At 38.1% G+C, this 26,333-nt stretch overlaps 2 protein-coding genes across 51 annotated transcripts in view, besides 1 other annotated feature; one reads left to right on the top strand and one right to left on the bottom strand.

The window, feature by feature from the left end:
- PKD2L2 (polycystin 2 like 2, transient receptor potential cation channel) overlaps window positions 1-5,738 on the top strand; it is a 53,291-nt gene extending 47,553 nt beyond the window's left edge. For 2 of the 5 annotated variants that reach the window (NM_001300921.2, XM_017009343.3), the window contains one exon: window positions 5,375-5,738. Coding sequence is in view for 2 of the 5 variants with exons in the window: in XM_017009343.3 (XP_016864832.1) it covers window positions 5,375-5,518 (144 nt within the window). In the remaining 3 variants the exon portion in view is untranslated. Of the gene's footprint in view, window positions 1-2,786; window positions 3,476-5,374 lie in introns of those variants that run through there. The other 3 variants (NM_014386.4, NM_001258448.2, NM_001258449.2) reach the window with 2 other exon arrangements.
- FAM13B (family with sequence similarity 13 member B) overlaps window positions 951-26,333 on the bottom strand; it is a 114,219-nt gene continuing 88,836 nt past the window's right edge. For 12 of the 46 annotated variants that reach the window (XM_006714648.2, XM_024446107.2, NM_001385872.1 and 9 more), the window contains 14 exons: window positions 25,396-25,460; window positions 23,157-23,205; window positions 22,607-22,754; window positions 19,468-19,533; window positions 17,157-17,367; window positions 16,327-16,456; window positions 15,619-15,700; window positions 11,946-12,175; window positions 9,219-9,302; window positions 8,893-8,988; window positions 6,124-6,207; window positions 5,866-6,029; window positions 4,935-5,036; window positions 951-3,339 (listed from right to left, as the gene is read on the bottom strand). In XM_006714648.2, coding sequence (XP_006714711.1) covers window positions 3,216-3,339; window positions 4,935-5,036; window positions 5,866-6,029; window positions 6,124-6,207; window positions 8,893-8,988; window positions 9,219-9,302; window positions 11,946-12,175; window positions 15,619-15,700; window positions 16,327-16,456; window positions 17,157-17,367; window positions 19,468-19,533; window positions 22,607-22,754; window positions 23,157-23,205; window positions 25,396-25,460 — 1,635 coding nt within the window. In that variant the 3' untranslated portion in view covers window positions 951-3,215. Of the gene's footprint in view, window positions 3,340-4,934; window positions 5,037-5,865; window positions 6,030-6,123; window positions 6,208-8,892; window positions 8,989-9,218; window positions 9,303-11,945; window positions 12,176-15,618; window positions 15,701-16,326; window positions 16,481-17,156; window positions 17,368-19,467; window positions 19,534-22,606; window positions 22,755-23,156; window positions 23,206-25,395; window positions 25,461-26,333 lie in introns of all 46 variants that reach the window. The other 34 variants (NM_001385866.1, XM_017009550.2, NM_001385996.1 and 31 more) reach the window with 11 other exon arrangements.
- Window positions 17,198-17,398: a silencer, noted in NCBI's record as "peak5488 fragment used in MPRA reporter construct". NCBI's record gives its function as "represses an SCP1 promoter by STARR-seq MPRAs in K562 erythroleukemia cells {active_cell/tissue: K562}" and the evidence as "EXISTENCE:reporter gene assay evidence [ECO:0000049][PMID:32103011]".

A 26,333-nucleotide genomic window follows, 5' to 3' on the forward strand; every position in this document is an offset into this window, starting at 1 on the left:
GCGGCAGGTCTCCAGTAGTTCAGTCAGTAGGTAGAGAAAGACAGTTTTCTCATAGTTACAGAGTAGAAAAACTATTGATGCTATCAAGTGCGTCAGGTACCATGTTCTGAATTCCTTTGGCCACAGATAAATTAATAAAGGCTTAGGATTCTGGGAAACCATTATATAAGACCCAAGTAAAGTAACCTCCCTCCATTCTTTAGAATTTGAAGCCTTCTGGAAAAAGCCAAAGTGTAGAACAAACTCCCCAGCCACCTACAGAAATCTCACTAACATCTTCAAACTGGAAATTTACCTAGACCATTTCTAAGGTGTAATGCATTTAAGGTTTCCCAAAAATAAAATACAGAGCAGGGTAGGCGTATCACTGTCATAAGTTATGTTTGGAAAGTGTAAATGAGGATGCTGTAACAGCCTTATTTGGAGGGTTGGAAAGTTGTGTGTGGCTGGCATTTTGGAAATTGGAGAGAAACTCTTCTAATTTTTCTAGGCTATGTAAGCCCCCCTACGATAGCCATATGTTCTCTTAGCCCAAGCAACATCATTTGACCTCAGCACTCAACTTCCACATTGATGCTCAATAGTTCCTGAATTTTAAAACTCAAATATAAAGACATTTTTAGATTACTACTCACCTTCCTCAGGACAAGCTCTTCTCTTAAGAGACTGTACATCCAGTGTTCTTAATAGGATAATTCATTGTAACAAGAAATGCTAACTGTTCTCTCTGCGGCTTCTCCCTAGATCTGCACAAGGGAATGAACAACATGGCCTTTCCCTGTCTTACCATTTCCCAGAGTTGTAGCCAGCCAAATAGTTTAGTGACCCTGTTGTTCCCTACCATCGCCCCTGGGTGGGATCATTTAAACAAAGCCTAAGCTGAGGGAACACTTGAGGTCTTTTTTTTTTTTTTAAGCCCAGTGGAAAAACAAACATACATTTACAATGACTTAGAACTTTCAAGTTCTTTTATTATAAAAGTCTGTACAATGAAGTGCCAGACACAGCAATGCCATTATACTGGTGGACATATATATCTATATATTATTTGTATATAGATATACAGTTTTTATTTGTACCAAAGTAAAACTATCACCAACTGCCTAATTCTACCAGCTACTGCTCAACTATGACACACAATACTGTCACAGAGCATAAGTGCTGCCATGCCACTTTTACATATTCTACTCACAGCCAAACATTAACATTGAATAACATATTGAAGCAGCTGTTAATTCTAAAATGAAACCAGTCAGACCACTGACTTATAAAAATATGGTACTCATATAGATTTAGCATTATAAAGAAGGAATATATTATTTAAAACATTTAAATAGTGCATATGGACATTTTTGCATGTGGTATATAAAATAAAACATTCATATAAGATACACAGTGCACATAAAATTAGATGTTTGGATACACTCCTATCTGGAGACTGAAGGAAATTATCTGAAATGTACACTGCATGATGGATTCAAATAAAAATGATACATCTTTTGGTATTTTCAATTTCACTTTTCTAGGTATACATTATGAATAACCTAGTTGTATCAAAAGGAAACCACACAAAAAGGGCAGGATTTAGTGCTTTTCTTTATTCCCCAACTACACATTCACTACCAGGTTTTCCCTCACCCCCCACCCCCCAGAAAAAGGCATTGCACACACGGGTGAAATGTGAAGTACTAGAACTGCTATTTATTATCAAACTACTTCATGTGCTTACTATGTAATAGTGCCAGAAGTCTGAGGTTCATGCTTCCCTCACCTTATTAAAGGATGTTGCAAAATTCCATTTTTATATGGAATAAATTGTTAATATTAGCTAGTTAAGAAAACCATGCATGAGTCATTGCATGCAAAACATGGGTATAGTCAAAGTGAGACAGTCATCAATCCAAAAAAGCACCAGAAAAAAAAGTTAACACTTAGATTAAGCCTGACCCAAATCTGCTGTTGTACTGTTAGCACAAATGAAGTCACCATTCTGTAACAATGATTAGCAGAATGATACCGAGACAGTACCTGAAGAAAAGCCATGCAAAGCCAAAGGAAAAAAAGATATGCTAAGAGTATATGACAAGGGGCATACCACTACACATCCTGTAAACAGCTGCTTTAAACAGCATGTTATGATTGACCAAAGGGTGGTCCCTTAAGAGGGCGTTGTTGTCGTTGTTTTGGTATGGATTTTGCTGATTAAAATAGGAGGGGAAAAAAAAAAAGATAACCCCCTGAAGGTACATGTGAAAATGCAGTGGTAGAGCCCTTGTTAAGAACAGATTTACTTTAGGCATAATATTTTGCTGATTTAAGCCCATTGATTGAACACACAAATCTGAGCACCATCAGAGTTCCTACATACTGACATGGCTATTTTCTCACATTATCTGGAGGTGGGTTGGGGAATAGCGCGGATCTGATCCAGACAAATCACACCATTGCCAGCGGATAAACAGTAACTCAGGAAACAGTAACTGAAGTCCCATAGGCAGCATGTGGTATGATTCAGTTCTGTGTGTGATGTGTGGTGTGTGTTTTCAATATACTAAGCGAGGTCACCTTTTGGTCTACCAACTGTTATCTTCATCCGGGAGCTGTGTGACCAGCGAATTGCAAAATTTTACTAACATACTACCTGTGAGAAGATGTCACTTTGGGAATTAAACAGAAAGGTGTTCCATAGTACGACTTGAAATCTCAGTTTGATTTTGGTTTTCTAGGAAAACAGAGAACACAGTTGCGTATGTGCACTTTTATAGGCTTTTCTTTCAAATTTTCAGTCATTCTGTAAGAAAAAGGCAACAGAAGAATTCAGTATGAAGATTTTCCTCCAATTTTCTTCAGTAATGAGAAACAAAAAGTTGGTAATAACAAAAAGCTTGCATTTCCAAAGTTCTTGAAGTTGAAAGGATAAAATTCCAGTCTTTTGCTAAAAGGATGTATCTGTAGTACAAAACAATGAAGTAAACCATATGTTTGCTAAAGGTGGAGAGGACAGTCTGTGGTTAATATGGAACATCACTTACGCTCCCTTGAGAGGGCCTACTTACTCTCCCATCATTTGTTTTGTTTAGTGGCACCACAACCAAGTACAAAATGAGATTCTCTGAGTGCCTGACAAAACGAATTTAAGTACCAGCCAAGTACACACGATGATAGCTTCAAGGAATACAACTGACTTTATGATATGAATTTTCAAGGAACGTATCTTATATGGATTTTGAAGAATCTTGTTTGCTTATAAGAACTTCAAGAAGCCTAAGCTTGGCTTTAATTTTCTTGTACTCTCTGTACTCCTCAAGCACTGGAACACGATCCTCTTTCTGGGCATTCCTAGGGGAGAAAATAAAATTTGTAATGTTCTAGAGATCATTTGGAAAAAAAGATCCAAAAGTTGTCTTAATATGAGACATACTGTTACTAAACATAAGTTCAAATAAAAAGTTGTTCTGTTAAAAAAAAAAAAAAAGGTTATTGAACTAATACCCTCATCCCCAAGGAACACTTCTAAAATTTTTGATGGACTTCTCTACTGATAGATTAAATGATGCTATACTTATAAATAATCAACATAGATAACTGGAGGAAACCCAGTATTTTAACAGGACATCCAGTGCTAGACTCTGCCAGGTCTGTGAGTGTCTATTAAGTGTTGGAGGCTACACTGAGTCATTTAATACATTTAGTTAACTGCGGCTCCAGTGAATTGAGATGTAAAAGTAAACTATCTTATCTGCAACAAGAGTAATTTTCTAACTTTATAGTAATGACCCAATGCAATTCAGTTTAATCGCTAGCTAAAGCATCAAACTATCCTAACTATAAGCAAAATTTTCTCCCAATAATACAATGAAACAGTAGACACTTGGAAAAATGCATTTCTGCACTTCAATTTATTTATTTATTTTGAGACAGAGCCTTGCTCTGTCGCCCAGGCTGGAGTGCAGTGGCGACATCTCAGCTCGCTGCAAGCTCCGCCTCCCGGATTCACGCCATTCTCCTGCCTCAGCCTCTAGAGTAGCTGGAACTACAGGTGCCCGCCACCACGCCTGCCTAATTTTTTTTGTATTTTTCGGTAGAGACAGGGTTTCACTGTGTTAGCCAGGATGGTCTTGATCTCCTGACCTCGTGATCCACCCGCCTCAGCCTCCCAAAGTGCTGGTATTACAGACGTGAGCCACTGCGCCTGGCCCACTTCAGATTTTTTTTTAACCATATGTGCCAACCTATATAGGAGACTCACAAAGCAAAGGGAATTAAAGTACAGATATTTTAGAATTTGTAATATTAGCTATCAGCTTGGTAAGATAACCCAGCTACTTAGAAAAATGTTTCTCAGGCCTGAGATAACTGAACCCAAACTTCTGGCCACCATCAGAACTGGAATGTATTTTTCTTAGTTTTTAAAAAGAGCCCTTCCAAGTCAACTGTGCATTACCTAGTTAGATAAAGGCATGTGCCATACTGTATTATAGGAGCCACATGCCTGGCACACTGTTAGACACCTTGGAAACGGGCAACCTCAACACACAGTATGAACACAATGGTCTCAGTATAAAATAAAAAATCCAAACTAGTTAAGGATACCACTCCTGTCATGGGATCCTTTCTAAAATAAGAGATATCTCATTTCACAACCACTCCCAAAAGGGTAAGGATGTAGAATTAAAGAATATAAAATCACTGCAATACAACCAAGGCTCCCTAGGACAATCCGAAAATAGTTAATCAGATGTTGTTTACACTGGCTGTGACTATTCCTGGCCATTAAAAGCAGGGCCTCAGAGCATAAAGGAATGTTTTAAAATTTTTCAGTGCTAGCATCCTATATGCACAATTTCTAATCCCACGTATTCCATTATTTCAACATATGGTCAGTTTGTGAGTTAGAGAAGAAAGATGACTCAATTTTGTGATGCTCAACAAACCTTCCATTTTGTTGATAAAATGCTTCTTCAAATTCCCGCAACGTTTTGCGTAGTTTCTTTTTTTCAGCTCTGGCTTTCCAAAGTTGTTCCAATAATTCAGGCCTAGAATTGAAATGGTAAAATACTGAAGGGCACACTTGATTCATTATATTCTTAAGAGAGGTTCTATTTCTGGCTGCAAATTAAAAGTGGCTGGGGAACTGTTAGGTCTACCAATGCCTAAGCTCCACTGCAAACCAATGAAATCAGAATAGCTGAAGGACTCAAGCATCAGTACTTTAAAATCTTCCCAGTGAAGTCAGGGCTCAGAACCAGTGACATACACCATATCATCCAAAGGTAAAGAAGTGGATATAGAACAAAAAGATCAACTCGCAACTAGTTCCTGTACTTTGTTATAAATCAACTGTAGGATTTTATTTGTTTGTTTCCTTTTTTAGAGACAGAGTCTCACTCTGTCGCCCAGGCTGGAACAGCGGTGCGACAGTGGCCTCAACATCCTCCAAACAGAGAATCAAGTGATCCTCTTGCCTCAGCCTCCCAAGTATCTGGGACTACACGCGAACACCACCACCCCTGGCTAATTTAAACAAAATTTTTATACAGTCTGGGTCCCACTATATTGCCCAGGCTGGTCTTGAACTCCTGGCCTCAAGGGATCCTCCTGCCTCAGCTTCAAAAACTGCTGGGATTATAGGCATGAGCCACTGTGCCTGGCTAGATTTTTTTTTAATTTTTGAAATACAGTAATGTTTTATTTAAAAATGGGAATGACAATAAATATTTGCAAATCACACTTGAAAAGCATGTGTCCTTTGATAAATTCTTGATTCATCTCCTATTAATTCCTTAATACTCATTTAACATCAAATTTCTTGGCATATACATTTTATTATAAAAATAGGCTAAAATCACAAATCAGCATACATACATAGAAGCTGCTCGAGAACTTGACAATCGGAGATCCAGAGCCAGTTTTTCTTGATTTTCTTCAACATCAGATTCAGAGTTTTCTAATGAAGACTGTACCTGTACTGCAGTTTTCAACATATCACCTAACTCAGAGGACAGATTAACACCATCTTCTTCTTCCTCCTAAAAAGATATCCAAACAGAGAATCAAACATGCCTTGTCTTTGAACTCTTCCCTTAGGGAAGGGATCAGATAATTATTTCTTTAAAGGATTACCTTGATTTCTTCAAAAAAATGTGCAGTTTCTCCTTCTATGATTGGCTGTAACATCTGACCCCTTCGCTTGGTGGATGGAGATCCCTATAACAATCAATAATATAAATAGTTTTACATTTTAAGTATTCAAAGTGTCCAGTGAAGCTTCCCTTCATTATGTTACGAATCTTCAACTTTATTTTCAAAATCTTAAACATTTGCTTTAAATCTTTTTAGGAATTGCTTACATTTATTTTTGCTTATATTTTTATTTATGCACAAGGAAGATAATAATTTATGTCTAGAAAAGTCTGAAAGAGCTCATACAACAGATATTTTAAAAATTCTAAATGGGCCAGGCACGGTGGCTAACGCCTGTAATCCCAGCACTTTGGGAGGCCAAGGCAGGCGGATCACAGGTAAGGAGATCGAGACCATCCTGGCTAACACGGTGAAAGCCCGCCTCTACTAAAAATACAAAAAATTAGCCAGGCGTGGTGGCACGCACCTGTAGTCCCAGCTACTCAGGAGGCTGAGGCAGGGGAATTGCTTGAACCCCAGGAGGTGGAGGTTGCAGTGAGCCAAGTTGTACCACCACACTCCAGCCTGGGCAACAGACCAAGACTCTGCCTCAAAAAAAAAATTCTAAATGATAAGAACATACATATAGTTTAATGGGAAGCACTTTTCTTTTTAAAAATAGGTATCAACTTTTTTGGTTTGAGGACCATTCTATACTCTTTTTTAAAAATAACTTTATTAAGATATAATTATATATCATAAAATTCACCCTTTTAAAATGTATAATTTGGTGGTTTTTAGTATATTTACCAAGTTGTGCAACTATCTCCACTAATTTCGGAACGTTTCATTACCTCAGAAGAAACTCTGTGCCCATTAGCTGTTACTCATTTGCCTTCTCCGCCTAGCCCTTGGTAACCACTAATCTAAATTCTGTCTCTATGGTCTTGCCTATTCTAAATATTTCATACAAATGGGATCATATAATATGTGCCCCTTTGTGTCAGGCTTCTCTCATTCAGCTTGTTTCCAAGGTTCACCCATGTTGTGGCATCTATTATTATTTCATTGTTTTTTATGGCTGAAGAGTATTTTGAGTGTACGGGTTACCACATCTTATTTACTCATTCATCTGCTGACATTCGACTCAGCAATCCCATCACTAGGTATATATATCCAAAAGAAAACAAATCATTCTACCAAAAACAACACATGCAGTCACATGGTTATCCACAGCACTATTCACAATAGCAAAGTCATGAAATCAGGTGCCCATCAACAGTGGATTGGATAAAGAAAATGTGGTACATATACGCCATGAAATATTATACAGCCATAAAAAAGAACAAAATCGGCAGGGCACGGTGGCTCATGCCTGTAATCCCAGCACTTTGGAAGGCCGAGGCAGGTGGATGACAAGGTCAGGAGTTCAAGACCAGCCTGGCCAAGATGGTGAAACCCTGTCTCTACTAAAAAATTAGCTGGGTGTGGTGGTGGGTGCCTGTAATCCCAGCTACTTGGGAGGCTGAGGTGAAAAATTGCTTGAACCCGGGAGGCGGAGGTTGCAGTGAGCTGAGATCACACCACTGCACTCCAGCCTGGATGACAGAGCGAGACTCCATCTCAAAAACAAAAAAAAAAAAAAACAAAATCATGTCCTTTGGGATAACACGGATGTAGGTGGAGGCCATTATCCTAAACAAATTAATAAATGAACAGCAAACCAAATACTGAATGTGCTCATCTATAAGTGGGAGCTAAACATCGGGTACTCATGGACATAAAAAAAAGGCAACAACAGACAATGTGGACTACTAGAGGGGGAAGGGAGGGAGGGGGGCAAGGAATGAAAAATGTTGTGCACTATGCTCAGTACCTAGGTGACAGGATTATTTGTACCCCAAACCTCAGCATCAAGCAATACACCCAGGTAATTAAACTGCACATATACCCCTTGAATCTAAAATAAAAGTTAGGAAAAAAAAAAGAAAGTCACCAGGCAGTCATCACCTAAAGGAAGCTGCCATGCAAGTAGCTGTCTACATAAAAATAGCCTGAAAGCCACAGCAAACCAGAAGGTTCAGTGAATTAATTCATAGGAAATAATGTAAAATGGGCTACATGCTGTTTTCTATTTGAACCCAAGACCAATCTATCTACAGTCATACTATCTAAAGGTTAATTTGGGGACAGCACTTAATATGCATTTAAACACTAAAGTTTTCATTTTTCTTTAAAAATGCACACAAATACCAATAAGCATTATTTTAAGTGACTTCTTCTCATTAAAAAGATTAACTTATTTTAAAAGTCAGCTTATATCATTATGCAAATAAAAGGACATCATCATGGCCACCACAAAACTGATGCATTTTCAACGACATGAATTTAAATGGAAAGAAACTAGACAAGGAGTCTGAATGAGTTTCCCATTCTGCTTCTGTCACTTACAAAGTAGATTAGGCACATCACTCACTGCCTAAGCCTCAGTTTCATCACCTGTGAAATGATGCTATCATATTCTACCTGCTGTGATTTTACTTGTCAGGATTTAATGACATAAGCATACATAAAAATGCTTACACAAGTGTCTGGGATATACTAGCAGACATTATTAGTTTCCTATTTTAAAATCAGTAATCTCACCTTACAGTGACAATTATTTCTGTCTTGGCTGTGTATTTCTCCAATATACCACAATAATAATTTTTTTTGGGAAGAGTACATCTTGATAAAATGAACCAGAGAATTATTGCTTATTTTACTTACAAGGACAGGAGTGATGCTAGCTCTTGTCAGCATTTGTTTTACAAGCCTGTATCTATCATAGAGAGGTTTAACAATGTGCCTTTCTTCCTTGGTCACCTGAAGCAAGAAAAAAAAGAAATTGTCTAGTCATCACAAATCTAAAATGTCCAAAACATTAAACAATGACTTATTCGCCCAATTTCAAATTTTATATTAAATACATAGGCAATCCCCCAATTGTAGGAAATAATGCTCAAAAAACAGCCCTGAAGAATGTAGGCCACAAAATTGATTCATGTTCTTTTTTAAGACATAAAATCAAATCTTTTTAGCAAGAGAGATATTACCGGCCTTCCATGTTGACTTTCATAGTAAAGAAGACTTTTCTGAAGAGAAGCTTTCTCTTCTACCAAATGATCTTTGGTCATTTTCTGGAATTAAACAAAAAAAATAACAAAATACAAAAAAAAAAAAACAAAAACAAAAAAACTCCACTGGCACCATTAATATTCTCCTCACTCCCACAATGTAAATAATTAGGTAGAAAGGGCAGACGATCAACAGTCTAGCCCAGGCCTTTGCTTGCAGATTTGCAGGCAAAATTTTCAGTCTCCTGTACAATTTGCTCTTATAATAAGTAGGTACCAACCCCTTTGATGGCTTTACATTTTATCTGAATAGATTATGAATATGGCTTGGGTAAATTACCTAACCTCTTTGTATTCAACATCCTCATCTGTAAAATGGGAATACTTCGTTCTACCTTAAAGGGCTCTAAAGAGGACTATTTATGAGTTCTATGTAAAGTATTTGCAACACTGCCTACCTAGCACAGAGTAAACATACATAACTGCTTGCTATTTCATTTAATGTTGTTGGCATTTTATTGGCATTAAGATGAGTGGGCATGCATGCGCATGTGCATACACACATAGGTTTTATAATACAATATTTATTCTAAACCATTAAGAAAATCTGGAAGCAGTATAGTGGAAAGATCCTGGAAAAAGCTCAACAATGTCCATTTGTGACCTCATACTTCTCTATTACCTCCATTTCCCTTCATCTGAGTTGGCACATTCTTTATACTGCAATACTCTTCTCACAGCTTTTAGTAGTCTAATTAGCAGAGTAAGCAATGCTTCCCAAATTCATTTGTCCACAAACAAGCTCCATAGACAAATAAATATGGTAAGTCTCGCATACTCTACTAATTAAAACAAACTTGTCCCCTTCGTTCTATAGGATCAACTATTAACACCTGAATGTGTGTTCCACAGAATATCCTTTAACACTAGACCAAATAATCTCTCTACTTATTCCCAGGACTCATTAATACCACCCTGGTCTCTCATGAGAGTAAAATTGAAGATTAAAAAAAAATTCACTGGATAACATCTTGCTATAACAAATATAACTTTAGATTACACACATTCAGTAGAGGATAGCTGAGTGTAGTCTGTCAAATACTGTGATTTCAACCTCAAGCTTGAATCAGTCTTAAACCAAAGATAATACATTTGCATAAAGTTGTAGCAGGTAGGGGAATATTTATTCTAACATAAAACTTAAAACTAAAAGAAAGGGCTTGGTGCTGTGGTTCACACCTATAATCTCAGCAATTAAGGCCATGAGTTTGAGCCCAGCCTGGGCAACATAGTGAGACACGATTTCTACCAAAACAATTTTTCTACAAAAAAAAATTTCTTTTTTTTTTTTGAGACGAGGTCTCGCTCTGTTGCCCAGGCTTGAGTGCAATGGTGCAATCCTGGCTCACCGCAACCTCCGTCTCCCAGGTTCAAGCAATTCTTCTGCCTCAGCCTCTGGAGTAGCTGGATTACAGGCATGTGCCACCACAACCTGCTAATTTCTTTGTGTATTTTTAGTAGAGATGGGGTTTCATCATGTTGGCCAGGCTGGTCTCGAACTCCTGACCTCAGGTGATCCACCCACCTCGGCCTCCCAAAGTGCTGGGATTACAGGCGTGAGGCACCGCGCCTGGCCAAAAGAAATTTTTTTTTAAGCAAAAGAAAAGTTAAGAGGGGAAGAGATGAGAATGACTAATTCAGCTCTGTTCAAGGGAAAGAAAGACTCCAATATTTGGATCATGAGAGAGGTGTACTCTGTTGTCAAGATAAGAGTTCCACATTAGGACTATTACCTAGATAAAAGTTCACCTGAGACCATCTACTCTCTCCATTCTCCAAGCAAATCTCATCCAATATAAGATTAGGTTGCCAAGTGCTTTGATCAGGACTGCCCTAGGCACAGGCTTTACTGGGGAAGAATAATGGCTCTTCAAAAAAAAAAAAAATCATTTAATCCTCATAACAACCATATCAAGTTAGTATTAATGGACATAATCACGTCAATATACATTATAGGATTGTTGAAGGGGCTGAGTGGCATAATGCATAAAATATAACCAGCCAACGTGGGGCATAAGCTAGGAGCTCAATACATACAGCTATTAAGACACAAGGACAGGATTCAAGCTAAGGTCTGTAGGTCTGTTTCATGCTTTATTTATTTATTTATTTATTTACTTATTTTCTCACTCTGTCATCCAGGCTGGAGGCACAGCTCACTGCAGTCCTAATCTCCCGGGCTCCATTGATCCTCCCACCTCAGCCTTCCAAGTAACTGGAACTACAGGTGCATACTACCACATCCAGCTAATTTTTAAATTTTATTTGTAGAGACAGGGTCTCACTTTGTTGCTCAGGCTGGTCTCGAACTCCTGGGCTCAGGCAATCCTCCTGCCTCGACCTCTGAAATTGCTGGAATTGAGGCATGAGCTACCTGTTTCATGCTCTTTATACACTCATCTTGCCAACTGACTCCAACATAAATGAACTCATCAGCATTCTAGTTTTTTCAGTTTTATTATGATTCAATTCTTGAAGTATTTGGCACTTCTGTTATGCTGATTAAATCATGTTTCTGAATCTGCAAAGATGGGGAGCAGATTCAGGAAAATCAGACTACCTAGACATCTCTACCCTGCTATAGTAATTATTTTGTTTCAGGAATTCTAAAGGCTAATCTGGGCAAAAATCATAGCTCAAGATTACCTTGATATCTTCTGGAAGACACCTCTCAATACGTTTTTCTTTCAGTCTTTTAAGAATAAGTTCAAGGGTTGCTTCTTTAGATGGTTTTTTCTCCTTCTGAATGACCTTGGGTTCATCTTCATTCTCTTCATCTTCATGGTCTAGAGAAGAGCCAAAGCTTTTTGGAAGTGTGTTACTACGTGGACGTGTCTGAGGTACAAATTCTCCATCAGAATTTTTGTGTTTTGCATCTACATGTCAGAAATAAGGACAGATCAGTAATAATTGGTTTTAGCTTTGACCGGGTCAAAGAATAAGCAAAATACACAACAAGAAAGTATACATTAACAGCACACAGACTTAGATATTTCAAAGCCAAATAAAACATTTAAGAAGCAAAAAACAGCAAGACAGCTATTCTAGGCTGGGTGTGGTGGCTCACACCTGTAATCCCAGAACTTTGAGAGGCTGAAGCAGAAGGACTGCTTGAGCCCAGGAGTTTGAGACTAGCCTGGACAACAGAGTGAGACCCCATCTCTACAAAAAATTTTTTAAATTAGCCAAGGCTGGGTGTGGTGGCTCACGCCTATAATCACAGCACTTTGGGATGCCAAGGTGGGTGGATCACTTGAGGTCAGGAGTTCGAGACCAGCCTGGTCCACATGGCAAAACCCCGTCTCTACTAAAAATACAAAAGTTAGCCAGGTGTGGTGTCATGTGCCTGTACCTGGTGGCACACACCTGTAATCCCAGCTACTCAGGAGGCTGAGGCAGGAGAATCACTTGAATCCAGAAGGCGGAGGTTGCAGTGAGCCAACATCAGCCAATGCACTCCAGCCTGGGTGAGACAGTGAGACTCTGTCTCAAAAAAAAAAAAAAAAGCTGAGCACTGTGGCACATGCCTGTAAGTCCCAGCTACTTGGGAGGCTGGGGTGGGAAGACCACATTGAGCCTGGGAGGCTCAGGCTGCAGTAAACTGAGACTGCACCACTGCAATGCAGCCTGGGCAACAGAGTCAGACCCTGTCTCAAAAAAACACAAAAACAACAACAAAAAAAGAGAGAACAAGCTATTATTTTTATATCCATAGAGAGCCTATTATTGAATAAAATGCTCTGATGGGCATGGGAGATACAGAAGAAAACAAAACAGACATGGTTCCTGTTCTTGTGGAGCATATATTCAGAGAAGGAAAACAATAACCAAATACTCAGATTAGTAAAATAACTTTAAAGAATGCTATGATCTATAGGTAAAACAGGGTAGAGTCACAGCGCTAAAAGGAGTATAATTTGTGGAGGAACAACTACATTGGACGGGATTGACAAAGAAGACCTCTCTGAATAGTATCATCCTGGTAGAATACGGAATAAGGAGCTTGTCTAGCACAAAGGATTTAGTGGAAGGGCATCTGTCCCCAGTGAGGCAATAGCCAGTGTGAAGGTCCTAAAGCTTGGCAAGTTTGAGGAACAGAAAAGAGATGAAAGTGATAAAATCGGCCAAGGGCAGACTGTGCAAGGCCTTGAAAACCACAGTAAGGAGTTTTGACTTTATTCTAGGTGGAAGCCCACTGAAGGGCTTGAAAAAGAAAGTAGTAAGACTATTTATTTTTCTTTTTGAGACAGGGTCTTGCCCTGTCACCCTGGCTGGAGTACAGTGGCACAAACATGGCTCACTGCAGCCTTGACCTCCTAGGCCTAAGTGGTCCTCCTGCCTCAGCCTCCAGAGTAGCTGGGACCCAGGCTAACATGACTTTTTTAAAGATAATTCTGACTACCATGCAGCAGACGGACTACAGAGCAGTAAAAGTGAAAGAAAATGGGAAAATTAGGAGGCCAATGCTAGACAATTTAATGGTATCAACTACTAATAAAATCAAGGTAATAATTTTCACTGATGACTGGAAATTGGCATTAAACAAGGAAATCTTTAACAGAAGTATAGGGGAAAATTAAGTGATACTCTAAAGAGGAGTTAAGAGACATTATCTTGGCCGGGTGAGGTGGCTCACGCCTGTAATCCCAGCACTGTGGGAGGCCAAGGCAGACAGATGGCTTGAGCCCAGGAGTTTTGAGACCAGCCTGGGCAACATGGTGCAATGCCATCTCTACTAAGAATACAAAAAAATTAGCTGGGCATGGTGGCATGTGCCTGTAGTCCCAGCTACTCGGGATGCTGAGGTGGGAGGATCGCTTCAGCCCGGGAGGTGGAAGCTGCAATGAGCTAAGATCGTGCCACTGCACTCCAGGGCAACAGAGTAAAACCCTGTCTCAAACAAAAAAAAAAAAAAAAAAAAAAAAGGAGAGAGAGAGAGGCAAACATTATCTTAACCACAAGAATATAAACTCCATGACAGCAGGGACTCTGTCTGTCTTGTTCACTGCTATATCCCTAGTTGTCTACAAAGTATTTAGTACCTCAGAAATACTTAACACTTTACTGGGCTGGGCACGGTGGCTCATACTTGTAATCCCCACACTTTGCAAGACCGAGGTGGGAGAACTGCTGAAGGCCAGAAGTTTGAGACCAATCCAGGCACAAAGCAAGACCCCAACTCTATACAAAATTTTAAAAAATTACCTGGGTGTGGCAGTGCATGTCTGTAGTCCTAGCTACTCTTGAGGCTGAGGTGGAAGGATCACTTGAGCTCACCAGTTCAAGGCTGCAGTGAGCCATGACCATGCTACCACACTTCAACCTCGATGACAGAGCAAGATTCTGTCTCAAAAAAATAAAAAATATATATTTTTTTATTTTTATAGGCCAGGTGCAGTGGCTCACACCTATAATCCCAGCACTTTGGGAGGCTGAGGCAGGGGGATCGCTTGAGCCCAAGAGTTCGAGACCAGCCTGGGCAACATGGCAAAACCCCATCCCTACTAAAATTACAAAAATTAGCTGGGCTTGGTGGCGTGCACCTGTAATCCCAGCTACTCGGGAGGCTAAGGCACAAGAATCACTTGAACCCAGGAGGCAGAGGTTGCAGTGAGCTGAGATGGCGTCACTGAATTCCAGCCTGGACAACAGAGTGAGACTCTGTCTCGAAAAAATTAGAAATAAAAATAAAAATAAAAACTTTATTGAGTAAATTTAAACCAAAGTGATGCTCCAGATAATAAACCCCTATTTTGCATAATTTTTAAAGTAATAATTATTAAAACACATACTCACTAAACATCCACAAACTAAATATACTTCAACAATTACTATACTGGTTTGACACCCAGAAATGCAATGCCTAGTTTATCATTCAAGAGTTACAATTTAGTCTTTGTGGTATAAACGAGTCACTGTGATTAGACATTCTTAGTCTTAGATGAAAATACCTACCAAAAAATCTTAATGAAATATCCAACAAAACTCAAAGCTGCTTAATATCTGAAATATATTTTAGATAAACTTTATAACATCAGTTCACTTATTAATATACAATCTCAGGTATCTTTCAAAAAGATATTACTAATAAAAACACAAAAAAGACATTTAAAATATAATACAGAACTACAGTACTGTACTATAACACAGTACTACAGTATGCAATTTTGACCCTAATAAAACAAAAAAAGGTAACTTTTATTTTTGTCAAACAGTGCCCAAGATTTAAAATTATCAAAAGTTGTATTTGTGATTCTCAGACATTAATATAAAAAAATTTTTAAAATGCAAATATATTACAAAATGGCACATAATATACCTTTAATTTGCTTCCGCAGTTTTGTAAGCTCTGTCATCCATTTTAATACCTTTGGATTGGCAGCAATATCACTGTAGGAGGGCTGAAAAATTATGGAGCAGAATCACTGACACTTGTGATAAGCAATAGTTACATTAATTTATGTCCAAATAGTATTTTACAATTCCCACAGCAAAGACTGCTCAATTCTCATTTCATCTTATTTTAATTAGATAGGGCAGGATATTAAGTCAAGTTCTCCCAAGGTAAGGTCTCGTAACTGGCAGAAGCCAGATTTGAATATGGGTCTTCTGACTCCAAGTACAGGACTCTTTCCACTTCATATGTTCTAACTATTAAAATTCTCTTTCCCCTCCTCCACTCCATCCCTCACAAACTCCCTCTCCTCCCCACTTGGTACTTGTAGTTTTTGATAGAGCAGAAATAGCAGTAACATGATTTGTCAATGTAAAGTATTTGCTTTAAAAATTCTAAAAGCTGCTTTGCCAGTGGAAATATAAAGATGCCACGGTGCAAATGGCAAGAATACTGGCCTGGAAGTCAGGAGACCAAGGAGTTATATAATCTCAGATCTACATGATCACTGTTCCTCCGGGTATCTCAGATTTGTTACCTTTCTCACACAGATCTAAACTAATGCTTTTGAAAAACTATCCTCTCAGTTCTAATATTAGATTAAGCTCACTCTGGGGAATGCTACAAACCTACCTTGCTATTTCTTTCCCTTTCAAACTGTTCCTCAAATTGTCTGATTTTCTTCTGAAGTTTCTTGACCAGCTGATAAGGTGTTCTGTCCTCTCTCTTTTCATCTTTTGAACTAAAGGATGATCTTCGAATTCTGAATTAAAACAAAAGGCCAACACTGTTAAATTTTCAAGTACCAACACTGTATCTCTTATTGCCCTGACATGGCACTATTAGCAATAAGTAAATCTTAAAGGTAAAAATAAGTCCCTAACACTAAAGGACAGGTAGTATAAAGAAACACTGTAATGTTACAGACCACAAATTTAGCTAATACAAGTGGTGATGAAAACAGTTTGGAATCATTTAAAACTGGTTTGGACAAAGGCAGCAAAGAAACAAAGATACCTAGCAGCTCAGAGCTCTTGTAACTGTTCAAACTGCATAACAAAGTTTTTGACATTCAGATCCATTTAAAGCTTTGATAAAAAAAGATTAGGAACTGCTCAGCACCATTTGCTGCTTCCTTTACAGAGCTCTGTATTTCAGCGATGAATACATAAATAAATGAATAATACACCACGAGAAAATGTCTATTTGAGAGCAAACTTCAAACGCTACACCTCACTGAACTCAGCAGGGTCAAAAAAAACCAAAACTTACAAAAATGTGCTCTATAAAATCAGTGAGAAAGCTCTGAATTCTATGTCTAGAAGACTCAATCTCTCTCTTTTTTTTTTTTTTTTTTTGAGATGGAGTTTCACTATTGAAGCCCAGGCTGGAAGACTAAATCTCTCAAAAGACTTGGGTACATAATAGGAATTGCCTCTTGTAAGTACATAAAAATCATATACCTAGTAAAAGACAGTGCTTTAGATGAGGAATCCAACTTTTCTGGATCATGTAGGAAACGCTGGCTTTGACCAAAATCTAAACTGCGGTGTGATAATACTGGAGGACAGTCCTCTTCCAAGGGGTGATGATTCATTCTTCCAGCTTGTGGAGACAGCTGAGCTTCTCCAGACTCAGAGTCCTCCTGCCAAGACTTAAAAGCAGGAAATGGCTCTATAAAACAAACACAAAGAATAGTACCATGGGTCTCTTGATTCCACGTGGGAAAAAAGTCACAAAATATCAGCTATGTGTTCCTTAAATCATATCATTATGTAGTGGTTCATATATACATACACACATACACACACACACACACACATACATGTGTGTGTGTATATATATATATATATAATCTTCATAAAGCCTACTATAGTTTAAAATTATTCAAGCTTCACTTTTTAGTCCAGAGTTCAATTTTTTTTTTTTGAGATAAGGTCTCGCTCTGCTGCCCAGGCTCTGGAATTCAGTGTCATGATGGTGGCTCACTGCAGCCTCGACCTTCTAGGCTCAAGCAATCCTCCCACCTTAGCCTCCCGAGTAGCTGGGACTACAGGCGCTTGCCACTACGCCTGACTAATTTTCTTTTTTTTGTTGTTGGTAGAGACGAGGTCTCACTATGTTGGCCAGGCTGGTCTTGAACTGCTAGGCTCAAGTGATCCTCCCATCTCAGCCTCTCAGTGTGCAGGGATTACAGGCATGAGCCACTGTGCCCAGCCCAGAGTTCTATTTCCATATAAATTTAAATTTCTGAACCCAGTGGCAAAGCAAGAAAGGACATTGTCAAGCTCTTTAAAACTCAATTTAATTCTAAAGATGTTATTTAATATAATTCTGAACTTTTCAAAAGATGTTTTATTTACAAATGTTAGTTTTCAAGTAGGGGAAAACCAGAAACAGCAAGAACTGAACAGTTCTTTCTTAGAAATTTAATTTAAAAGCCAAATGATGTCAGGTGTATGACCTGTCCCTCACTGTCAAATAGCTATATTAAGAAAAAGTGGGAGCTGTTCCCCATGTTACATGGAACACTCACCAAATGGAGTTCTCTGACTTTAGAAGAATTCTAATATTCCCAAAGGAGGAGCTAATTCACCTGACAGCACCTGGCCTCTAACATTAAACTGTGATGGTTATCTTCTGCTACAGGATTCCTATGTATAATATATATTTTAATAATACCCAACAGTGTTACTAAGACAAAACTTAATAGCACTAGGCCTTCTTAAGCACATTTACTTTACTGCAGTTATCCTGTATGCCCTCAAATGAAAGCTATGTTAATACATTTGATGTCTTTGCAAATATAATGTTTGATTACATATAGAACACATACAGATCATACACACAATCCACAAATATACCCCAAATACAACATTAAGCACAGGAGGGAAAGAAAAAATTCCCATCTACACATTAGCTTTTTATTTATTTATTTATTTTTTTAGAGATGGAGTCTTGCTCTGTCACCCAGGCTGGAGTGCAGTGGCACGATCTTGACTCACTGCAACCTCTGCCTCCTGGGTTCAAGCGATTCTCCTGCCTCAGCCTCCCAAGGAGCTGGTGTTACAGGCGCCTGCTACCATGTTTGGCTAATATTTGTATTTTTAGTTGAGATGGGGTTTCACCATGTTGGCCAGGCTGGTTACGAACTCCTGACCTCAAGTGATCCGCCTGCCTCGGCCTCCCAAAGTGCTAGGATTACAAGCGTGAGCCACCACGCCCGGCAGCTTTTTTTTAAGTAACTACACTTAAAAATTTTGATGCTATTGGCTATTAGCAATAGCGAAAATGAATGCAAAGAGGGCTTGACAGTGTCAAAATTCAAGAGTGATGTTTTCTTTTTCCTCACACAATAGCTAAGATCGCTGCTTTAGTAATTTAGTTTAACTTTATGCATTAGCAATTTAAAGCATTACCTTTCCTTTCAAAATAATAAGAACATAATTTAGTTTGTTTTTGAAGCCCAGATCAATCTGAGAATTAAAAATTGGGTACAAAGCGTGCAATCCCACAATAAACCCAACAATAAAGTGATTTTCAAAGCAACCCTTGTACCTGTGCCCCAGCAAATAAGTAACTGGTAGTAAACATTTTATGAGAAATATCCTATTTTAAGAAAAGACAAAAGTAATAGCAATTTTTTCTGGGTTCACTTTGAACCCAGAACAGTTTTCCTAAGATATGGGGACAGCAGGAGAAGGGCTTAATAAAAAGACAAACAAAGTGAACCATAAAAGGCAAAAAAACTAAACTATGGTGAACCATACTTACCCTCCCCATCTCTCTGCAGATGCATTGTTTTGAAATCAATGAGGGGAAAAGTGATAGGGCATGACGCTAATAAAATGGAAAAAATGGCAAAAAATACTAAAGTGAACACACAGCACAGTCAGAACAAACCATACACATAACACAAAGCCAAAGATACCAAAAACATTTCCCTAAAACCAGTTAGGCATTCTGTTCAAAAACGTTATTAAAAGAAATCACTACTAACTAGATTTTAACAAACACAAACATAACATTTCCATTTCAGCAAGCAATGCAAAAAAGGGGGGGGAAAACTCAAAGTCGTGCTATTTTATTAAAACTCAAACATAAAACTGAAGAAATGGAAATTCTTAAGCAGGTACTGTTTGAAGCTTTTCAGTGTAAATGATTTTAAAGGAAAATATCTCCCTTAGTTTGCTCTTTGAAAAAATCCTACTGCATTTCATTCCAGAGTTAGCAGGAGAGAATCTGAAGATGGTATCCACTTCCATTAAAAGTCAAAACTTTGCAAACAGCTGCTACAAATTCATACTGGTGACAGTCATGTGCTACCTGCTTGCTAACTACTACTGCATTCTGCTATTTTTCTTATCCTTTGAGGAAAAAACAAAACAGAAACTATGTACTTAGGAATAGTGACATAGGGCTCTATTTGGAGTCATCCCACTTCTCTACAAAGAGTCACATCAAACAAAGCATGTCTGATTCCAAGGTATCCAGGGTCTAAAGTAAGTTGGTCTCTTAAATAAATAAGACTTTTTCATTTAGAATATCCTAACTCCTGGCCGGGCACGGTGGCTCACACCTGTAATCTCAGCACTTTGGGAGGCCAAGGCGGGCGGATCACCCGAGGCCGGGAGTTTGAGACCAGCCTGACCAACACAGAGAAACTCCGTCTCTACTAAAATACAAAATTAGCCGGGTGTAGTGGCACATGTCTGTAATCCCAGCTACTCAGGAGGCTGAGGCAGGAGAATTGCTTGAACCTGCGAGGCGGAAGTTGCGGTGAGCTGAGATCGCCCCACTGCACTCCAGCCTGGGCAACAAGAGCAAAACTCCGTCTCAAAAAAAAAAAAAAAAAAAAAAATTGGAGGAATATCCTAACTCCAATCAATGTTTGCATTAGTGACAAAGTTAGAAGAAACAACATGGTCTACAAACAGCCACTCTACAAAGCACATGCACAGTTCATGGCTGGGAAGTTCGCTCAGGTGTCTGTAACTGTCGGCTTTCTGAAAGTTGCGGACCCCTATTTCTGGAAGAACAAGTAGGGGACCTACATAGACTTGTTTAGGCTGTTGAACCAGGGCAGCTCAGGCACTGAAAATCAGGCATCAGCAGCCTACAGGTTACCTCCTTTATCTATACCAAGGTATAGGTGCTGGATTCTGACATGGAAAAAAAAGACAGTCCAGTATCAGGTTCTCTTTCAGGGAGACTCAAGAACGCTGACGCTAGACAGAGAAGGTCTATCCTCTTCAGACAATGAAAAACAATTATTCTTCTATGTTTAAAATTTAATCAGGACTCCCAGGCCAAAGATCATAAAGAACTATTTATCTGCATCTTCTAATAGGAAGAAACAAAAGTGCTTTATCAGAATCCAAGCTGCTTCCTTTGAAGACTCATTTCCTAGCAATGCTGCAAGGGATGCTCTGTCGACCACCATTCCTTTTATTTCAGCCACAATAAATAACAAAAAAGAACATTTAATCTTCAACTGCCACCAGTATGCTAACATATCCCCCAACACTGGGAAGCATCTTCATAAATTCCAGATGTCCTGAATAACCCAGAACAAAGCAAATTAAAGACAACTTTCTAATTTAGTCTAAGTTAAAACAGATAATATGCCACTGGGCATGCCAAACATCTAGACCTATATAAAAAGGAGGGTGGGGAGGAGATGGCAATAAAAATTGGCACAGACAATGACTTGGTTGGGGCTCTTAAAAAAAAATGCCTAGACCTTAAAAAAAAAAACAAGACCCACACACACTCCATTTGCGATCAGGTGAGTACACTTAAACAGTGCCAAAAGGAGTCCGTGGCACTGGCATTAGAATTCCTGTTATTGCCAGTGTATGTCAACAGATACTTGCCAAAGGTGAGACAACCCAGGGATCTTCATCCAAGTGAATGAATATGTAACTATCCTTAAGATTCTTGAGTTATCTCATTGTCTCTTTACCAAAGTGTATGATCCAGAAAAACTCCTAGATCCAAATTTATTGCTTGATTCCCACCCCCACTCAACATTTTATTTGAAAGTTTACAAATACATAGCAAAATTGAAAGAACTTTACACTGAATATCCATATACCAATCACAATCTACCATTAACATTCTACTATACTTGCTTTATAACATTTATCCATCCCATTAACCATCTTATTTTTTTCATGGATTTCAGAGTAAACTGCAGGTATCAGTAAATTTCCCCATAAACACTCCAGCATGCAAATCATCCACTGAAGTTCAGCATTTGTTTACAGTTTTTTATCCTCTTGAAGTAAAAAGAGAACTTTATATACAAAGAAACACAAAAATCTATGTATTTGCTGAGTTTTGAGAAATGCATATACCCATGTTGTTTGCTTGTTAAATTTTAACTTCTCTCCTTTGTGCAAATTTTTAGAGTCCCCTGCACCATACCTTCATAACCTAAGACAGAAATACAGGAATATGGTACAATATTTGTTTAGAAGTACCCTTGAAGGTCATTTTTCAAAAAAGTACTACTGATGATACTAAGGACAAGGTAATTATACACGCTCTGCTTAAACTGGTGAGATCCCTAAGCCTTAACATACTGGGCTTCCAAAGACTAGGAGATAGCACCTGATTTAAATATTAACAAAAACGTATGCTGGGTGACTTTTTAAAAAAATCAGTTCTAACATCCATTTTCAAAGCTGTTGATGGATCAGACAAGAACTTCTAGTTCATATGAGATGCTGCCCCAAAATCTCAGTGTGTTTCACTAAAAACACCCACTTGTTCATCTTACATGAAAGGGAGAACAGAAGATCAAGATGAATAAGGTTATCCAGAAAAGGGCTGTAGTCTTATCATTGCTTAGGGTAATTTCGGTTACAAGTAACATTATCAGGAAAATAATGCGTGTGGGTAAAATTACCTTCCCATTTATCACCATCAGAAACATTCTTCAGATCTAAATGTGGAATACTGACACACGCTGCTTCCCCTTGAACACCAACACTCTGACCTCCTGGTACTTCTGATTCAGTGTTGGCATTCAAATCACATATCTTGCTACTAGAATCCTGTATTTTAAAATAAAGAATATATTTCACAACTACGGAAGCTTTTCACACCCAGCTTAAACACATCCAGCACATATCCAAGTGTAGTCTTCATTAGTTTACTGTGCCTATACAGCCAACTGTCCCACTCCCACTGTGCAAACTATTTTCAAATATAAACATGCAGTTTTAGAATATGTCTTATTGGAAGACAAGTTTGGATCCCAAATTCAGGAAAGTGTTTTCACAACCAAGTCTCTTGTAACCAAAAGTGGCAAATTAAGTTGCTGTTTAACTGTAAAATATTTGGTAAGAGTATTTATATTTAAATCTTTAAACCTAGCTAACCCACATTAAAGACCAGACATAACAGTTTAAACCTAGGCAAGTTTTTAAAGACTAAGACAAAAAAATAGTTCTTACCAGAATCAAGTGTGACAATTTATCACTGTCAAATAACAAATATTCTTCCCTAAAAATACAAGTAAAGTTGTTAGTATATTAAGAATAAAAAGGCTACTATCATTATATATTTCTTACCTAGATTCCTCTACTCCATAACACAGTTAGCATTTACAATGTGCGAGGAGAAAATGCCAACTGGACACATGCCCATTCTTTGGAGCCCTATATCTGAAAAATCACACAATACTGAAAAGATCCACAGAATCACTTCGGGTTTAGAAAAATCAAGTAACAATCCCTACTCCACCCCACAAACCACAGCAAAAAAGAAAAACCTTTATAAAATGAAAACTAAAATCCACAGTAAGTAGAAACCCAAAAGAATGAATGTATAATAAAGATTTTATAAAATAAATGTTTTAACCAAATAAACAGCTCTATTCTCTCCATTCTTGAGACTTTCAAAGAAAACTTTTTAAAAAGGTATCACTATGTCTTTTACTTTAAACTTGACTGTATTCTATCACAAGGATACTACTTCCAATCAGAGAAGGTTACTACTTCCAAACCTTTCCCTCCTCAAAATATAACAGTAACATACTAAAAGGAAATTTTAAAAAATTTCAGTCCACCTTTTACTTCCCCAGAAAAACTAACCCTTATTTAGAACAAGTGTTATAGCAAGCTGTCGTAAGTGATCTGTACCTATTTTACCAGTCAAGAGAGCACCTGCTATTATACAGTAGATTATCAATATGCCTACTGGGGGAAAGTTCTTTTCCCCAAAGACACAGTGGCAATTTACAATGACACATCGAGATGTCACTTCTAACCGGCCATAACAGAGTATGCACTCAGGAGACATGCCTTGATCTAAATATTGCAAGTCATCTTCTCATACAGATAATTACCTTATTCTTGCTGAGAATAAGAAATGAACTAAATGCTCTGTTAAGCTTAAAGGCATTCCTTTGCTTAGAGTAGGAGCAAATGGTAGGATGAGTAATTACTACCTTAGCAGCCTAAAAGACCTAATCACCTACATTTGAGAAGCATGAATGTTAAACATACAAAATGTAATCCACCTAACCAAGGTACTCTGGATCTAAAAACCAGTTTGCTAACTTATACACAGTTGAAGTTGAAGAGGAGAGAGCTTTTTCCAAAAACAACAACAACAACAACAACAACAACAACAACAGAAGAGTCCTCACTAAATGGGTCCTTATTGTTCTACCAAATCCAGATGTCACTATTCTGGGGGTGCCTGTTAATGTTGTTAATTTTATATCTTCAGCCCATAGCTCCAATACTTCCTGGGCTGGAAGAGGATGATTCCTGCCTCCTGAAAGGAAGGACAAGGAACTGCTATAAGGAAATCTGTGGACCTTCAGAGTATGGGGAGGCTCCAGAGACGTGGCTCCAAAGAATTTGCTTACCCTTAAAGAACAGGCTTCCTACTTATAATTAAAAGAAACAATAGAATACAAATATGTCCTGGCCAACAGGCTGTCAGCAAATTAGTATACTGTCTGGGATCTCTCAATATTTACAATCTAGCCTGCAACTTCATTACTGAAGTGTTTTCAGAATCTCAAATCACCTTCCTAAGAAAGTTATACTTTTTGGCAGCATCTTGAAGACTGATGCAAAGGGTAACAAGAACCCAAATCTTACTCTGTGATTTAAAACATTCTAGAAAGCTTCTATTCAAAGAGGCTATCTATTGAGACTCTACATTAGTCGAAATACTCATTGCCTCCAGTATTTCTCTACCATTACAGCCAGCCAAAGAGGTTAAAAAAGCACCAGCTGCCTAAGAGTGTACTGAGACACACCAAGGATAAATTCAAAGAGGAAGAAAAACATCCTATACATATTTGTTGAATCAAATACAGTATCTCTCAGTTAGTTATACACAGTTACAAGATCATGAATTAACTCACTGACAGGTATACTCAGAATATCAGTAAATTCCCAATTGTTCCACAATCAACTGAAAGATTTAAATGTCTCCAAAAAGGCTGTTTTTCCCTCTGAATGTTTTCCAAGTTATAACTACTGTCTGAACCTGTACAAATCCAAACATTTATGGGTATTTAATATCCTTTATGCCTACCATTATAACAAGAAGGCTGTTTAAGATTATCTAAACTATATATTTATAATGGACATTCATCTAAAAAAATCACCTCAAAAATCTGTGAAGAGCTCCAATTCTCAAAATGATTAATTAGCAACAAGAAAAAATGCTTACCTCTCAAGACAGCCATCTTCACTATCACCACGGTCACTGCATGGCTCTAACAATATACCTACAGACTGACAAAAAGAACACTACCATGTATTAATGGAGCTCCCAATACTCAGATAAGAGAAGTTGCCAATCTAAATTAGGATATTAGAATACAGATTAGTCAAACACCCCTAATTAGCTATCATTTATAATAGTCTGTAGTACTTAGCATCTCTTTTTACAGAGAGTAATTTATCTTCCCTCAAAACCTGGGTCATATGAAGTATAGCAGGTACTCTGCATTTCTCTCTATTAGGTAATATGTATCACCACTACCATCCTTCTTCCTTAGAATTATCTCCTCCAAAATGATGGTCTTCTGATCCTGCTTGCCAACTGCTGCTTGCTTTATTTCTCCTCAGCTACAAAGATACAAGTTTGGTGACTTCTTGTAGGTAAGATAGGAGTCATAGAGGAGTTCACTAGATTCCTTTGTATATTTGAAGTAATAACTATTTTCCACAAAGAAAGTCCCCACATGAGAAAACTCTCCCATTTTCCAACGAGCTTAGTGACACCATCTCATCCCTATTCCCCCCCAAACTAAAAACCTACCAAGTCTAATACAAATACCCAGAGAATTACTACAAAATACATGAACGTTGTGGTGTTTTTGATGATCACCTTTCAAATCAACAAAAGGTTCCATACTTCCTAGACTCTCTGATTCTTCTTTAGAAAGTAAGTACCACTTGTCCAGCTTTGTTTAGCGTGAAAGAAGGTCCACAAGAATCTGCAAAAAAAGCTGTTAAAATACTAGTCCCTTTTCAAACTACACATCTGTGAGGCTGTCTCATATGCTTCAACAAAACAATGTAACAGCAACAGACTTAAATGCAGAAGCATATACAAGAATCCAGCTGTCTTCTGTAAGTCAAACAGGTATCAACAATATTTCT

Source organism: Homo sapiens, chromosome 5, assembly GCF_000001405.40.
Source record: "Homo sapiens chromosome 5, GRCh38.p14 Primary Assembly".
In the NCBI taxonomy this organism is placed as follows: domain Eukaryota; kingdom Metazoa; phylum Chordata; class Mammalia; order Primates; family Hominidae; genus Homo; species Homo sapiens.